This window comes from Homo sapiens, chromosome 16 (genome assembly GCF_000001405.40).
Source record: "Homo sapiens chromosome 16, GRCh38.p14 Primary Assembly".
Classification (NCBI taxonomy): Eukaryota; Metazoa; Chordata; class Mammalia; order Primates; family Hominidae; genus Homo; species Homo sapiens.
Window position 1 is genome coordinate 1,100,066 of NC_000016.10, and position 16,759 is coordinate 1,116,824.

The 16,759-nt window shown below is 64.7% G+C and overlaps 1 long non-coding RNA gene across 2 annotated transcripts, besides 2 other annotated features; it reads left to right on the top strand.

Moving 5' to 3' along the window:
- Positions 2,834-3,053: a silencer, noted in NCBI's record as "silent region_6964". NCBI's record gives its function as "represses an Ori minimal core promoter by ATAC-STARR-seq in GM12878 lymphoblastoid cells {active_cell/tissue: GM12878}" and the evidence as "EXISTENCE:reporter gene assay evidence [ECO:0000049][PMID:35858748]".
- On the top strand, positions 7,572-13,334 carry LOC107984906 (uncharacterized). 2 transcript variants are annotated; one of them, XR_001752051.2, is made up of 3 exons: positions 11,583-12,388; positions 12,668-12,815; positions 13,307-13,334. It is a non-coding gene; the product is annotated as an uncharacterized LOC107984906 (long non-coding RNA). The 2 variants fall into 2 exon arrangements; XR_007064936.1 differs by having other exon boundaries at positions 7,572-12,815.
- Positions 7,905-8,423: an enhancer, noted in NCBI's record as "H3K4me1 hESC enhancer chr16:1157970-1158488 (GRCh37/hg19 assembly coordinates)". NCBI's record gives its function as "activates a minimal SCP1, AML or CMV promoter by ChIP-STARR-seq in naive H9 embryonic stem cells {active_cell/tissue: H9 hESC(naive)}" and the evidence as "EXISTENCE:reporter gene assay evidence [ECO:0000049][PMID:30033119]".
- Positions 13,335-16,759: the final 3,425 nt, after the last annotated feature.

Consider the following 16,759-nt stretch of genomic DNA (forward strand, 5'->3'; position numbering starts at 1 on the left):
GGCTTGGCCTCAGTGAGCTCCAGATGAGGCGAGAGGCCCAGCCCTTGTACCTTGGCCTGTGCTGTGGAAGTCAGGCCCCCTCCTCCAGGAAGCCCTCCCTGCCCCACCTGCTCACACACAGCCTCGCCCAGATTTCTCCCCGTGCAGGCTCCGCCCGCCAGGTGACCGTGCTGGCAGTCAGCACCGTCCCCTCCCCACAGCAAACAGCAGGAGACTTGGGGTGGCGTTTTTCCTCTCCAGCAGTGGCCTCTGCAGGGGGTGTCAGCAGGTGGGGGAGAGAGGTCCGGTAGCCCCACTTGAAAGGCGCCCCACTCTCCTCCCAGCGCCCCCCGCGCAGCATCTTCCACCTGCTGATCTCACCCAGCTCACAGGTGTCCCAGTGGGTGGTTGAGGCAGAGGGGCTTGTACCTGTTACCTCCCCGTCCCCTCCAGGCTGGTATAGGAGCCCTATGGGCCTGGGTCTTGGAGACGGCACCCCCACCTACATGCTCTCCGGGTGGGCCCCATCCTGGGGGGTGCGGGAGGGACCCCCTGCCGATCTGCCTGTCTAAGTCTGGGAGTCCTGGGGACAGTGGGGCTGCGGAAGGGGGCAGTCTGGGTGGGACCCACCTGGAGGATCCTCCCAGCTGGTGCACCAGCAGTGGGAGGAGCTCCGGGCAGAGCGAGTGCCCAGTCTCAAAGGATATGAAGTTGAGGCTGGGGGCCTAGAGGTGCAGGGGGAGGAGGTGGGGAGGCGCGGGGGGAGGGGGCGGGGAGGTGCGGGGGGAGGGGGCGGGGAGGTGCAGGGGTCCCAAAGGATGTCCCAAGGCCCCAAGACTCTGGCGAAAGGACGGAGGAGCCAGCACTGGTGGGGGAGCGGGGAGGCGAGCAGGGAGCGGAGCCGGATGGCCAGGCTCTGGGCTGGACACGCCATCCGTGGCTGGGCTGTGCTGTGGAGCCCCAGCCCTCACCTGCTCTTGTCCTGCCCTCTGAGGCCCGGGGGCTCCTGCTCCTGGGCTCTGACACCAACCCTGTCATCCCACGGATGAGTCCGTGGGTAGAGCTGCCACACGGGGGACTGAGACTCCAGCCCAGACGGACAGTGAGGGGAAGCCCCGCCCTGGCGCACACGCCCCGTGTGGAAAGCTAACGTGCTCTTTATTTGGGAGACGGGACAGAAAACGCAGGACGGCGCCTGCACGGTGCCAGATACTCACTGGCAGCCAGGCGCAGCTGCAGGACCGTGGGGTAGCGGCGTGGTGGCCATGCACGCCTGGCGGTCGACATAGAGGCTGTTGGTCTTGACGGCGATGTTTTTCTCCAGGCTCCTGCACGTACTCCAGGTTGCCCAGCGACTGCTCCACTTCTAGAAGCTTCTCCCGCAGCACCACCAGGGACGCATGCAGCCCCTCCACCTCATTCCCCAGCCTGAGGGTGCGGGGCATGAGTGGGGCTGCAGAAGGGAGCAGCAGGCACCTTCCAGTCTGGGAGGGACAGGACCCAAGGCTCACAGGCTGGGACTGGGGCAGCAGGAGGTCCTGGCAAGACCCCGTGAAGGATCCCTAAGGGAAGTCCACCAAAAAAAGCCCCGGTCTGTGATTTTCCGCAGCGTCTGCAGGCAGCACAGTGCCTGTGGGCCTACACCTGGGGCAAGCAGGGTGCTGGCGTCCCCGTGCCCCGGTGTGTGGGCCGGGCCAGGCCAGCGCTGTTCTCCTTCACCAGCTCGGTCACCGGAACCCCAGCCAGAGGCACCCAGCCCCTGGGGCTGTGTCGAGGGCGGCTCTGTCCAGGGCCCAGGGGAGGTGCAGATGAAGGACCGTCGTTCATGGCCACCCAGCCTTCCCGGGGCACCCAGAGGGGTCCGGAGAGTCAGCACAGCCTGTTGCCCCCCAAGCTCCAGCCCCAGAGCCCCCAGCCCCCAAGACCCCAGCCCTGCTCAAGGACTCAGGGGACTCAGGCAGCCGAGGCCACGCTGAGACCCTAGTCAGAGCCCTGTGGCTGGGCCAGGATGGCTGGGGACAACCACGGTGGGTGGCCCATGCTCCCTAAACCTCCTCCTGCCCCATCCTCCCCCACACCCCATGCCCAGCTGCTCAGTCGAGGGTGGAACACCTGCCAGCCATGCCCAATGTCACCTGGTTTCACATCCTTGGAAGGGGAGCCCAGAGAGGTGGGGCCTCTGCTTCTGGAGTCCCTCGGGGTGGGCAGCCAGGGGACGGGAGGTGCTGGGGGCTCAGGCCAGGTTGTGAGGGGGCAGAGTGGCGGCCGGCCTCAGGGGTCTGGGAGTTTAGGGCGCCCCACCTGGAGCAGGCAATGCTGCACCTGGTGCCACATGACCTCTAGGTGAAGCCGCAGGCCCAGACACTGTCGCACAGGACGCAGTCACGGCACCGCCCAGGTCCTCCTGCCAGAAGCTGGCTCCTGGCCCCCGGCACCCCCAGGCCTCGAAACCCCGCGTCCCGCCCACGACCCCGCCCTGCGCCCCTCGCAGACCCACGCACCCCTTGTGCCTTCCTTGACTCCGTGGCCCCGGTGGTCCTTTGCCTCCCACAGCCCCCCACCGCCCACCCTTGCGCCCTCATGCCCTGCCTCCCTGTGGTATCCAAACCCCCCACGGTCCCCACGCTGCAGCCGCCCCCAGCGCCCCGCCTTCCCGCAGCCCCCCTCACCTCCCACAGCCCCCACCTCCCTCCACAGACCCCCGCAGCACTCACCGCCCCCCAGACGCCCTCCCCCAGCCCCCCTCACCTCCCACAGCCCCCACCTCCCTCCACAGACCCCCGCAGCACTCACCGCCCCCCAGACGCCCTCCCCCAGCCCCTGCCGCCCCCCTACAGGCCCTCCTAGTCTCCGCACCCCCCCCCCCGGCCCCCCTCCCGGCTCCCTCCCCGGCCCCGAGTTGGCGACGCTGCCGTGGGCGGTGGGCGCTCGCCCTCTGCCGGCCGCGCGCGGAAATGCGGTCTCGCCGTTGCCTGGGACTGACCCCGCCCCGCCCCGTCCTGCTCCGGGCAGCCCCGCGGGTGAGCTGGGTGCGCGCTGGGTGCTTGGGGTCTGGCTCGCTCTCCCATCCCCGGGCAGACAGCTGCACGGGTGGCCTCGTGGTCCATGGCCTCCGGCTGGGCCGGGGAAAGCCGTTTCGCGGAGCACGCCCGGCGGGTAAGGTGAGACCACAGCCAGGGCCGGGGCGGGGCAGGCAGGCGGGGGCCACCTCTCCTGGCAGGCGGTGGACGGGGGCCCTGCGCCTCGTGCTCTGGCTGGGAGCGCGCAGAGCTCCTCCATGCTGTGGGCGCCACATTGTCCGACCAGCCCCGACTTCAGGTCTTCTTGTGCAGGCTCAGCCTGGCGTTGGGGGGCAGTGGTGGGGTCCCCTCCCCACCGCGGGCTGGACCCGAGTCCTGCTTCAGGAGGCAGCTCCGAGCCTGTCCCGGGAGGCCCCTGTTAGCAGAGCCCGGGAGCACGGCCAGGCTGGGAGGCTGCAGGTCAGGGGCGGGGCTGGTCTCTAGCCCCTCAGGCCCCCAGGCTGGGCCTTCGGAACCTGCGCCACCCAGCCCTTCGCTCTGCTGTGACCTGGGGCAGCCCCAGCTGTTGTCCATGTCCTGCCTCAGGGCCAGCCGGGGGTGAGGGTCAGGGGCCATCCCCTGGGCAGCCCTCAGGTTGCAGGACCCTCTGGATCTGTTTCCGGCTTGCACGGTGGGCCTTTCCAGCAGCTCCGGAATGCTCCCGATGAGCTCAGCTTCCTGGATGAGGAGGCGCCCCTGAGCCCCAGACCCCGGAACCTGCCAAGGGTCCCAGGAGGCCCGGAGGCTGCAGGCCTTGGTCAGCACTAGCTTACTCGGGAGGAGCAGAGTGTGGGGCCTGAGTCCTGGCTGGGTGTCCGGGCCAGGCCCCACTTGTTCGCCCTCAGGCCTTTCCCCTGGAAAGTGGCACACAAGCCCAGCTCCCTCCTCGGTTTATTCCGGGCTTTTGGATGTTCTTGGTGGGTTGGAAGTGGGGTGCTTTCCTCCAGGGGCCTCTCCGGGCTGCTGGGAGGGTCCCCTCATGGTAGTTCCCACGCCCCAGGCTTTGGGGGTCATACCTGCCGTTCCCCGTGGTTCACCTCCCTGTTCCTGCACTGGGCAGGCAGGGCGAGCGAGGGCTGGGCCCGGGGTCTCTGGGCTCAGGGCGGAGGGGTTAGCACGGGAACCACAGGAGTTCTTGAACCACTGAGGGGGTGCAGAGGAGGGGCCTGGGGAGGGGAAGGAAAGGGGAAGGGAAGGCCTGGGGAGGAAGGAGGGATGCGAGGTCCTGAGCTCGGGGGTGCAGCAAGGGAACCCTGAGGCTCCTGCACCAGCTGCCCCCACCCACATATTTTGCTCATAGACCTAACAGTGCGTTCACAGGGAGGCCCCAGGCTCTGAGAGGTGGCAGAATTCTCCAGAGCGAGCACTGGGGCCAGGATTGGTAACCCCCTCACCCTACGGGGCTGCTTCACGGACAGGTCGTGCTGGATTCGGAAGGGACAGAGCGTTCGGAGGAGAGGGCACTGGGGGTGCAAATCTTTGAGGTCAGGGCTCCATACAGGATGAATGGGTACCAGTGGCCCCCAGCGCACTCTTCCTGTCCACACCTGCAGCACTGACCTGGGTTCCCAGCTCGGGAGCAGTTGTCCCAGCAAGAGATGCCTTTGGGGAGGTGCCCTGTGGCTCAGCCCCGGGAGCTCAGGGCTGAATGTGCCTGGACTCAAGGGGGCAGGAGGAGGGGAGGGGCCCAGAGGAGACACAGCTGCTTGCAAGCCAGGTGCCCCTTGGGGCAAAACCAGCTTCTGTGGTTAAGGGGCCAGATTTCGGGACTCAAGGGTCTTGTGTGCCTGTAGCAGCCACGTAGCTTGTCCACATGAACGGCCAGGCTGCTCCTCTCCGTGGCTGCACGTCCTGGCCACCCCGAGGCCGCAGCACTTTCAGCAGCTCCGTCTCCACGTAGTCGCCCACGAGGTAAGGGTGCCAGCATTGCTCGTGGTACTGCAGGTTGTTGGTGGCGATGGAGAAGGGCACGGTCATGGTGTCCGAGGCATGACACAGCTGCGGCTCCGGGGCCAGCAGCAGGCGGGTCTCAGCGGCGGTGCTACCACCTCCCACTCAGGCTCCAACTTCCAGCCGCGCGTGTCCTACGGCTGCCGCCCACCCTGTGTGTGTGGAGTCCCTTTGTGTGCACTGTGCCGCGGCCTCGGTCTCCGCTGCCCACTGCTGGCTCTCATGCTGCTGCTATGCCAACGGTTCGAAGGTGATGGTGGCCGGCGTCATGGTTCTGGAGCCACTTGTCCAGCAGGTGCTAGGCCACTGGGAGCCAGCGGTGGCCAGGCTGGAGGACGTGCAGGCACCTGTGTTTCAGGCCACGTCGCACAGCTTTGGGGGACAACTGGAATGGTCTGTGGGGCCGGCTGCTTGGTCAGGAGCGTGTCCATCTGTGCCATGGTGTCCACCAGGGCCGGGGGAGTGAGGGGTGGGGTCAGCCCAGCCAGGTCAGTGGGGAAGCTCCAGCCACTCAGTCCCAGAGCAGGATGCGGCTCCCAGTTGCCTGGTACACACCGACGGCCTCCATTACTGGGCACCAGGGATCCCCCCGAAGTGGCTGAGAGAGGCGGCATTCAGGGTGGGCAGAGCTGCCCCCCAGAGGCAGGGGGTATGGGCTGCTGGGGGTGGGGGTCCCTCTTAAAGGACCAGGCAGGCCCAGCCCTACGACCCCTGTCCCCGCCATGGCCCAAGCAGCAGTGGCCAAAGGTTCCTGTCACCTAGAGGATCCTGGGGCTGGCCGGTGCCCGGCTTCTGTGTTCCATGCTTGGGGGACAGGCCGTGGGTGGGAGGTGGCCTGCTGCCCTGACACCTGTGCCCCTTCCTTGGTTTACCCCCTGCTGTTCCTGTTTTGTTCTCTGATCCCTTTCCATGCTGAGCTCCAGACAGTGTGAACGGAAGGCTCTGCCCACCTGCAGTCCCCGCGGGGCAGAAGGCTGGGGCCGTGGGGGGCCTCGGGTGGGTGTTGGGACCCCTGACAGTGACGGTGATTCCCAGTATCTGCCACCCCGCGAGTGGCTTCCCTCCCTGTCCCCCGGGGCCCCAACACCAGCCTGATACCACACCAGGACCCCCAGGCCAGGCCCTGAGGGGCAGCCTGAGCCCCACGCACAGTCCCAGGGGACCCAAGACTGAGGCAGTTCCTGTGGAGACTCTGCCCACTCGGCTCCTGGGACCGCTACCCGAGAGCTGGGCACCCGCTTCCCTCCTCCTTCCGTGTCCCAGCCAGGGTCCCCCCCAGTCCTGTGCTGTGGAGGCCGCCCCCATGGCCCCCCAACCCCTGGGCCAAGCTGCCTGGCAGAGTCTGGATGGGCAAGGAGTGCCCCGCGCACCACGTGACCCCGTCCTGGGCCAGGGGAGTCCCAGCCCAGGCGCGATGCCCCCTGTGGCCAGCAGAGTGTGGTGTTGGCCGCGAGATGCCAGCGGCTCCCAGGCTCCGCTCAGCCAGCCTGGCCCATCCTGTTCTGGGGACCCCCCACCCCAGGCCCAGGTCCTCCCCAGCACAGGCCCCTGGGTCCCCACCCCCACCCCCTCCACCTCCACCTCCAATCCTTGCTCCGGCCACAGGAGCCCAGGCTTTTCCTGGGCCACCTCCCTCCCTGGCCATCTTCCTCTGGCATCCCCGCCCATGCCCCCACTGTGGCCCCGCCGTGCCCTCCCCCTGCCCATGCCCCCACTGCATCCCTGCCATGCCTTCTCCCAGCCCTGACTGACCTCTGACCCCTGGCCCTGACTGATGGGTGGCCGGATCCCCACTCACACACTGCTATGACCACGGTGAGCCCGGCCTGACAGCCTCCCGATGGCGGACGTGGAGGCGTGCGCCGCACTCCCGGGCACACTGGAGGCTCCTCATGAAATGTGGGCTTTGGGGACAGCAGTGCCAGGACTGCAGGCTGACCCAGAACCGGCGGCAGTGGCCTGGGCCTCTTCTCACCGCCCTTCAAAGGTGGGATGTCAGGGAACCTTCCGGGACTGATGTGGCCTGAGGACCGTCCTGGAGCCTCGCTGTGACTCGGTTTCCCCAGATGGCTGCAGGCTCGAGCCACACGGTGGCGGGGGGGGGCGCCCAGCTCCACATTTTGTCTTGAACCTGCTTTCACTTGGCACCTCCCTGTGGGCTGAGCCGAGCGGAACTGCCCGTGTTTGTCCCCTGACCTGCAGACCCGGGGAACCAGTGGGACCACCCGGGCCGAGGAGGCGAATTCTGGGCTCTGCGACCTCTCAGCCTCTGCCTCCAGGTGCCCTGGGGTGCGGCGGGGGCACTGCCGCATCGAGCTCCCAGGCTGACGGGACACAGACTCACCCGTGACCGCAGTCGGCCCTGCAGGCTGACGGACAGGACTTGACTGAGTGCCTGTCTGAGACAGGGGGCTGGGCCCTTGACCCCTGCAGCCACAGAGCCCCGCAGCCCTCAGCCGGCTCAGGGGGTGAAGACACCCCAGGAAGAGCTCCTGGGTCAGAGCCGCCCGCTGTGTCCACTGTGTGGCCAGGCAGGCGGCCCCTCCCAGACCGTTTCCCTACCTGCTGGGAGTGGGGCAGCACCGGCCTGGGGGGCACGGCCTGAGGGAAGGACAGAGAGTGGCCGAAGCCCCCCACAGTCCCCCGCCCCACCTCGTGGGCCTCTGCACACATCCCCTTGGGCAGACACAGGGCCGGGGCCAGGACAGCCCCAGGAACGGGTGCCCCCACCTCAGGGCAGCCCCCAACACTCACCTCTCTGGTCCACCAGCCAGAGAGTGGGACCCTCCACCTCACAGACCCCAGGGTCACGGTGTCCATTAGAGCACCTTGGTTGGGTACCAGAGGTGGGGAGGGCAGGGCCGAGGCCACCCGGGCAGTCGCCAGCCCAGGAGGCGGGACAGTTGTGTGACTAGCGTCCCTGTGACAGGGACGGTTGGGGCTGGGCTGGCGGACGAGCTGGAGGCCACAGAAGACACCTTGGACATGGGGTGGCCCCTGGGAGGCCCCTGAACCCCATCCTGATTTGCGGGGCAGTGACCCTGGCCCAGCCTGGGGCCTCAGGCTCCTCCCTGGAGATGGTGTGGCCGCCCTGGGCCTTCCCACACAGGGCTGGTGCAGTGGTCACCCTGGAATGGCTGTGACCCACACCGCATCGCCTCCCCCAGGACCCATGCCAGGCAGCATGAATAGGGCGGGCCCGGTGAGAAGCCCCTCCTGCTGGGTCCAGCCTCGCCCACCTCAGTGGCCTGAGGCCCCTTCCTCAGAGTGGCCAGTGGGGAGGTGGGCGCCCATCACTTCTGTGCAGCCTCGCCCCTCCAGCCACCGCCAAGCACACCCAAAGCAGCCTAGATGAGCCAAGGTCACCGGGATTCCATGGGGGAAGGGAGAGCAGAGACTCAGACCATCTGGCTTCCTCCGACCCCCGGCCACACCCCCTCGCTCGCTCCCGCCTGGAATGACAGCTCGAGGAGCCCTCCCGGCCTCAGAGCAGGTGCCCTTGCCGGCTCAACAGGTGGCCTGGTCCTGCGCTTTCTCCCGGGGCCAACGGAACATTTTAATGACGGGGATTTGAGGCACCTCAGGCAGCCCTGAGGCTTCCCCCGGGGGTGAGTAGGGGCCGGTCACGGCAGAGCAAGAGGACTGGGTGCACAGGGTGGCAGTGCCCTGGGCGGGAGGGCTAGGGGGAAGATGAGGGACACCAACAGCCCAGCACATGGACAAGAGGCTGAGAGGGCAGGCTCTGGGAGGAGGCTCCGGAGGACTTCTTGGAGGAAGAGTCGGCCAGGCTGAGCCTCCATGAACACGGCCCCCCGAGGCTGTGGGAGGGGGTGAGGGACTGTAGAGGCGGCGTCTCCCTGGCGGCCCCAGACAGCTGAAACTCACCTTCCCTTGGGAAGTGTGGGGCCCCACAGAGACAGGGACACAGGGGCATGGACGAGGAGGTGAGGATGTGAGTGTGGTCAGGCGGGCAGGCAGTGAGGCTGCAGCTCGAAGTCCTGGCCTGCTGTCGAGGTGGGCACCGAGCCCAGTTCTCTGCGCTTGGCAAACTGGGCGGAGGGCGGGGCGGCCGACAGAGGCTGACGGCTCACTCCTGCTCAGCTCTCATCCTGTCCTCCCAGGCAGTGGGCAGAGCTGGGGACCCACGACCACGGACGCTTTTCCGTCTACCCTTGGCCTAGGGAGGCAAGGCTCTGACACTGCACGTGTGACTCAGTTTACCTGCCTGAAGGCCGGGGGCTGGGGGGCGGTGCAGGCAGCTGTGTGCCTCTCCAGGACTCAGGGCCCTTTGCTGGCCTTCAACAGCAGTTGGCATCCTGGCCCAGCACCCAAGACGCCCCCACCCACCGTGGTCTGGAGCTGCTAAGTGGAGTCTCTGAGGTCCATGGTATGGGCGGGGTCCAGACCCCAGCCTCTGAGGCTGCATGCAGGGCCCAGAGCTGTCACAGACTGTGCCCTGAGCTGCCCGCTGCAGAATGGAGACCAGGACAGTTCCTCCCTCCTGGGTGTTTGCGGGTGAAGCAGGAAGGTGTGCAGTTTCCTCCAGGGAAAGTCCTGGGCGTGCTTGGTGGAGGGAGAGGAGGCTGGGCACGCAGGGCCAGGTAGGGTGACGGTCCCACAGGCTCCCCATCCGAGGTCCCCCCGGGGCTATGCTGGCTCCCTACCTGGGGAAGTCCCAGGCCGCGGGGACAAGCCCGACGCCGTCCCATTCACCTTCACCACCCACCCGGAACCGGCCTTCCAGATACGGCCGAGTTAAACCACGTTCAGAGGGAGCCATAAAACTCCAGGGTGAGATGAGATCACACGCTGATCCTGACTGCAGATCCCGACTGCAGCGGGAAGATAAATGTCTGAGTGTTGAAGGGATTGGAGGAATCGTTGGAAGCAAGATGGATGGTCTCATAGATATGAAAGTGACTTCACGAAGAAACTTCTGCCTGGTGGAACGGAGTGGGACAGAGAGGAAAGGGCAGGGGAACAGGGGCAGGGGGCTGAGGCCCAGGCAGGTTCTGCTGCAGCCCACGCCCACCCGCCAGCACGCAGGGAAGCTTGACTTTCCTACCTCAGCTGTGCCAGCTGCCTGCAGTGCCTGGGCCTTCCATCCATAAGTCAGTGACAGTGAGGGCATGGCCTGGGAGTGAAGGTAGACACAGAACAGTGCCCGACAGGCGGCAGGTGCCTGAGAAGCATTTGTTATCATCGTCACTATCATCACTGTTTTTTTGTTTTTTGGTTTTGTTTTTTTCTGAGATGGAGTCTTGTGCTGTCGCCCAGGCTGGAGTGTAGTGGTGTGATCTCAGCTCACTTCAATCTCCGCTTCCTGGGTTCAAACAATTCTCCTGCCTCGGCCTCCTGAGAAGCTGGGACTATAGGCGCCCACCATCACGCCTGGCTAATTTTTGTATTTTTAGTAGAGACAGGGTTTCACCATGTTGGCCAGGCTAGTCTCGATCTCCGGATCTCATGATCCACCCGTTCAGCCTCCCAGAATGCTGGGATTCCAGGCGTGAGCCCCCGCTCGCGGCCACCGCTATGGTTTTATTCTGGTGTAAATCACGTAACAGAAACCTCACCGTTTTAACTGCCGTAAAGCGTGCAGTGTGGTGGCGTCTGGCACATTCGTAGCACTGTGCAACCATCGCTGCCATCTGGTTCCAGAATCTTTCGTTGCCATCCCCAAAAGGAAGCCCTCAGCCCATGCGTGGTTACTCCCATCTCCCCAGATGCTGGGAACCGCAACTCACTGCTCTGAGCACAGTGTGGAAGAGGAGTCTCAAGCATGTGGTCCTCTGTGTCCCGCTCCGCCCTGATGTGGTGACTTGAGGCCGGTCCCCTCTCCTGGCTGAGTTGTGTTTGCACTGTGGAGACTGTGAGCTGCACTCTGGTAATCATGTCTGTGCACGTTTTTGTCTGAAGACCCGTTTTCAACCCATTTGGGTATATCATTATTATTTTTTTGAGACAGGGTCTCACTCTGTGGCCCAGGCTGGAGCACACTGGTGCAATGGCGGCTCACTGCAGCCTCAAACTCATAGTCTCAGGCGAGTCTCCCATCTCAGCCTCCCAAGTAGCTGGAACTACAGGCACCTGCCACCGCACTCAGCTAATTTTTATATATTTTGCAGAGACAGGGTTGCCCAGGGTGGTCTCAGACTTCTGAGCTCAAGAGATCCACCCACCTTGGCCTCCTGAAGTTCTGGGATTACAGTCGTGAGCCACTACACTGGGCCAATTATTTTTAAAATCCTGCTAAAACCCACCTGAAAAGCCTTAAAGACCGTGACTTTCAAAACATGGGAATGGACCCCTGGCAACGTGAGAGGGCAAGCTCCGCCTTCCTGGTGTCTTTTTTTTTTTTTTTGAGACGGAGTCTTGCTCTGTCACCCAGGCTGGAGTGCAGTGACATGATCTCGGCTCACTTCAGCCTCCACCTCCCAGGTTCAAGCAATTCTCTGTTTCAGTCTCCTGAGTAGCTGAGATTACAGGCACCCACCACCACACCTGGCTAATTCTTTTGTATTTTTAGTAGAGACGGGGTTTCACCATCTTGGCCAGGTTGGTCTTGGACTCCTGACCTCATGATCCACCCACCTTGGCCTTACAAAGTGCTGGGATGACAGGCATGAGCCACCGTGCCCGGCCGGTCCTGCTTTCTAGAAAAAACTGTAGTGCGCGCTCCAGAGACGTAACCCGTTCCCACACCTGAGTGGGCAACTCTAGCCTTTGAACACAGCCCTAGGAAATGACTGCAAATGAGGGGGAAGCTTTTTAAATACAAGGAAAAAGGCATTTGTACCAAGCTACATCGCAGTGAAATTATCATTGGAAAACAGTGGAAAGAGGCTGTGTGTCCCCCCACGGGTCAGGCGCAGTCCCAGGGAGGTCTAGACCCCAAGAGCAGAGAGGCCTACGGGAGGCACGGCTTGTGCCAGGAGGTGGGGTATGCGGCCACCAGGCACTCTAGTTACACAGCGATGGGCTGAAGGCTGTGCATCCCGCAGGGAGTGAGCCCTCCGACCCTGGAGGAGTTCAAGCAGCTGCTTGTCAGGATGCAGCGACAGGAGGGACACCGTTGCAGCCGATGCCCGAGACAGCCAGAGGCTGCCGGCATCCAGCAGCAGAGAGGCTGGGCCTGGAATGGACCCCCAGAAGCTGGCCAGAGGCCTGGCAGTTGGGAAAGGCTCGGTCGTCCTGGGGAGGGAGCAGCACCAGCGGAGGCCCCGCCTGGGTCTTCATCAGAGACACTCCAAGCTGGTGGGGGATTCCTGGGACAGTGTCACCCCCGGCAGGCCCCAGGTGCCCACCGCCCACCCGGCCACAGTGGGAGCAGCTCGGGTCAGGGAGGCCGGGCTGAATGCAAACCACTGCTGAGGAGACAAACGCGGCGCCACGAGCAGGTCAGGAGAGAACTCCCTCCCGCGGGCCGTCCGCGGACCCTGGCGTCAGCCAGCATGTCCTGAGCCACAGACGAGGCTGTCCCAGGTGTGAAAGAGGGTCTGTGCCTCCGAGTGGAGGCCGGTCCCACGCTGTGGACTGAGCTGCATCCCTCAGATGCATCTGTTTCAGCCCTAACCCCAGTGTGAGGGGACGTGGAGGTGGGGCCTCAGGGGTGATGAGGGTTAGATGAGGTCAGGAGGGAGGAGACGCAAACACAATTGGCCGGACCTTGATCTTAGACCCGCAGCCTCTAGAACCTGCAGAGAATGCTGGAGCTGCCCAGGGTGTGATTCTTGTTACGTCTCCCCGAGCTGGCTGAGACATACAGCTCCACTCCACCGGCCTGTGCCCAGAGACCCCGGGGTACAGGAGGAGGACGCCGCAGAGGTGCGTGTTGATGAGTGGGTCGCACCAGGGTGGAGCCTCCTAGAAGGGCAGGGACGCACCATCCTTGGGGAGTGGCCTGGAGAGGCCTCGGGAAGGGGGTCCAGGGTGGCTGAGCCTCAGCCATCACCCCATGCCGTCCAGCCCTGCAAGCACATGCTGTGCCTTGGACCTGCCTTCTGACGGGGCCGGGGTGCCCGTGGGGTCCCAGTCCCCGTACGAGCATCTCACTTTCCCTTCCATGGTGCTGCTGGTGGCCGGGAGACCATATGTCCCAGCCATAGTGGCAGATGCTCTCCAGGCCGGCTAGGGGACACCGGCCCTCATGGCAGGTGAGGAGGCAGTGCACTGTTTTGGGGGCTCTGAAGCCCGGCCTGCCCGACTTGAAGTGTCCAGGGCCCACCACCTCCTTCCTGGTTGAGGAGTTTCTGGGAGAATGGTCAAATCCCCAATGTATCAACTCAGCTTTATCTCCAAAACCTACCACTTCCCAGAGAACAAAATTAAAGAAGATTTCCCAGAGATTTGTCATCTGGCGGAGCAGGACCAGGGACAGGCTGATGTGGTGGAGGTGGTGGACACGCTCTCAGCCCCACTCCATCCCGGAGGCTCAGAGCCCACAGCAAGGACAACTCCTGGGTGAGCGGGTGCCAGGCAAGCAGCCCACACGCCGGGAGTCCCCAGGCTCCGAGATGTGCCCCTTCCCTCAGCACACAGATGAGGAATCTGAAGCTCCAGGAGGCCAGGTCATTTCCTCCCTGAGCCCCAGCAGCCAGCGGGTCTGCAACGTGGCCTCGAACCCAGACACCCCCGTGGGGGCTCACAGCTGTCCGAGGGCTGGCCACTCTCCCAGGAGCTGTGGCCGCGTCGTCCGGGGACCCAGCCCCAGGACAAGGTGGAGACAGCCCAGGGGGTCAGCGCTCACAAACCCCCCCACCCCGAGAAGATCCAGTGCCCGAGGCTGGAATAACCTCAGCCCCACCCACTACCCTCACCCCACTCACCAGCCTCACCCCCACTCACCACCCTCACCCCCACTCACCACCCTCACTCCACTCACCACTCACCCACACCACCCTCACCCCCACTCACCACCCTCACCCCCACTCACCACCCTCACTCCACTCACCACCCTCACCCCCATTCACCACCCTCACCCCCACTCACCACCCTCACCCCACTCACCAGCCTCACCCCCATTCACCACCCTCACCCCCACTCACCACCCTCACTCCACTCACCACCCTCACCCCATTCACCAGCCTCACCCCCACTCACCAGCCTCACCCCCACTCCACCAGCCTCAGCCCCACTCACCAGCCCTCCGGACACGGGGCTCTCAGCACCCCTTCCCCTGGGGGGCGGAAGCCCAAAGTGAGCATCAGTGGCCAGTAGCCCCTGGCCGGCAAGGGGAGCCCTGTCCCGCAGGCCAGGCGAAGGCAGGATCCTGTCCCCGGAGGGGAGCACTGACCTCCCTGATGAGCGTCCTCCAAGTTCAGTCATGCATCCTCCGCCCGCCTGGATTCCTGTGATACTGATTTATGTACGTTACTCACATTTTCACACACAGCTCCCCCAAACTCTCCCTGTGGAAGACGCATCCTCGGTGAATCGTGGGGATCCCACCCTGCCGCCCTGCTGGGCCTGTTTTCTCTGCCCAGGCCTGAGCCACTGGGGGCAGGGGTGGGGGCTGCTTCCTGGGGTCCGCCCACACCTCGGCTTTACCAGATGTGGATGGCCCCCGGGGGATCCTGGGTGGGCCTTGGCGGCCCGTGGGTCTGTGTCCACCTCTGGTCCACCTCCGCTCCACACCCGGGGCCTCAGGCCAGCCACCCACCACGCATGGGATGTGGTTTCTGGTGGGAACAGAGACAGGCAGGTCCCAGCACCGCTGTCCTGCCCACCCCACACCCTGTCATCGGGCAGAGCCAGTGGCGCAGCCTCCAGGATCCCAGGATGGGGTGCCCATCGCCCTGTCTCTTGCTGGCAGAGCCGAGGGCGCAATCGGGGAGAAGCAGGTATGCCACCCCCTGTGGAGCCCCACAGAGGCCCCGGGTACAGGGTGGGTTTCTGTCGGCCTCCGTCTCCGTCTCACTTGCTCCAAGCAGCATGACCTCAGGGGGCCTCAGGTGCACCCTGAAGGCCAGAGTCCTGGGGTCTGCTGAGGGGGCACCAGGCCCTGGAGTGCTGGAGGGTGAGGCTGGGCGGCCTCCTTCCCCGGCCTCTCCTGGCTGGCCTCTAGGTGTGGCCACATTCCCTGATCTCTGTTCTCTGGCACTCCCTGGTGTGTGGGTGGCCGGGGCACCTGTGGGCCTGTCGGTGAAGGCGTCAGGGAGGGGCCGCCTTGGAGCTCTAGTGCATCTGGGGTTAAGAGGCTCCAGTCTGGCTTCTGAAGATGCTCTGGGCAGGCGGAGCCCATCAGCTGCTGCCATGAGATAAGGCCTGGGGAGTGGGTTGCAGAGCAGGTGCCGAGGACCAAGAGAGTGCGTGTTCTCCCCACCCGACCGTCACACCCCCACCCGCCCTGCACCCCCCAGTCCTGCCCCCCGGGAGGCCACCGGTCAAGGGCACAGAGCTGCCCTGGAGCCCGTACCTGGGTGAGCCCTGCCCCCTGCACACGGTGTGTGACTGCTAACAGATGCTGCCCTCTGTGCCTGGACCTCAAGCTTGGAGCCCCATGCCACATCTCAGGCTGTGGGCAGCGCCGAGCCTCTGTGGCTTCTGTCCTCCTGCTGCCGGCCTCTCGTTCTAGGGCCGCCTGAGGCTTGCTCAGCAGAACCATGGAGGAGACCCACACTCCCCCACAGGCTGGTGGTGGGGTCGGGGCCCCTGGGGGACCTGGGATGAGGAGTCCTTCTCTTGGGGTGTTGGGGGGCCTGACGCCCACCAGAGCTGGGCTATAACAAGGCATATGGCTGGGCAAGAGGGTGAGAGGCCAAGGCCAGAGGACAGTTTGAGCCCAGGACTTTGAGACCTGCCTGGGCAACATAGGGAGACCCCGTCTCTACAGAAAATTTCTAAAATTAAAAACTTTAGCCTGACGTGGTGGTGCACGCCCAGGGTCCCAGCTACTCGGGAGGCTGAGGCGGGAGGATGGCTTGAGCCCGGGAGGCCAAGGCTGCAGTGAGCCGAGATTGCACCACTGCACTCCAGCCTGGGCCACAGAGCGAGACTCTGTCTCAAAAAAAAAAAAAAAAAAAAAAATGGAAGAACTGTCGTCCATGTGCAGTGTGACCAGGCAGGGGGGTCCCTACACCCCAAACACACCCCCACACGGGGTCCCCTCAATCACCTTCCGGTGGCTTCCCAAGCCCCAGGGAGCCCCCCACACCATGTCCTACTCCCTACAGCAGTGACTGCCAACTGGGGTGACTCTGCCCCCACAAGGGACATGTGGGGGTGTCTGCAGAGGATCTCAGCTGTCATGACGCGGGGGCGGGGGAAGAGGCACTCCTGGTACCTGATGGGTAGAAGTCAGGAATGCGGCTTAGCTGCCTGCCACAGGGCCCAGGACTGCCCCACCATGGGGGTGAGCAGCCGGAATCCCGGCAGTGCCCAGGTGGGGAGGCCGCTCCGGGGACAGCCCCCTTTCCTGCTGGAGGTTGTGAGGAAACGGTGGGAAAGGAGCGTGTGCTCCCTAGAACTGGAGCACTCCCTGGGCTCAGCAGGCCCGAGGGCAACTCCAGTGCATCGGAGGGACGCCAGGTCTGCGGGCGGCAGGCAGATAGCCTGGCCAGGCCCTCACATGCCCACCGCCAGCACCAGCCTGGAAATGGACCTGGAGGGGCCGGGCTCCACCCGGCACTTAGACCAAAGAGCCCTGAAAATAGACGCAGAGAAAATCAGCCACGGCTCCCAGGCCCCAGAGGTCCTCCCGGGAGCAGGACGTGGCCTGGAGCCACTTAGCTGATGGAATGGGGCGTTCAGAGCTGTGCTGTGGTCTCCAC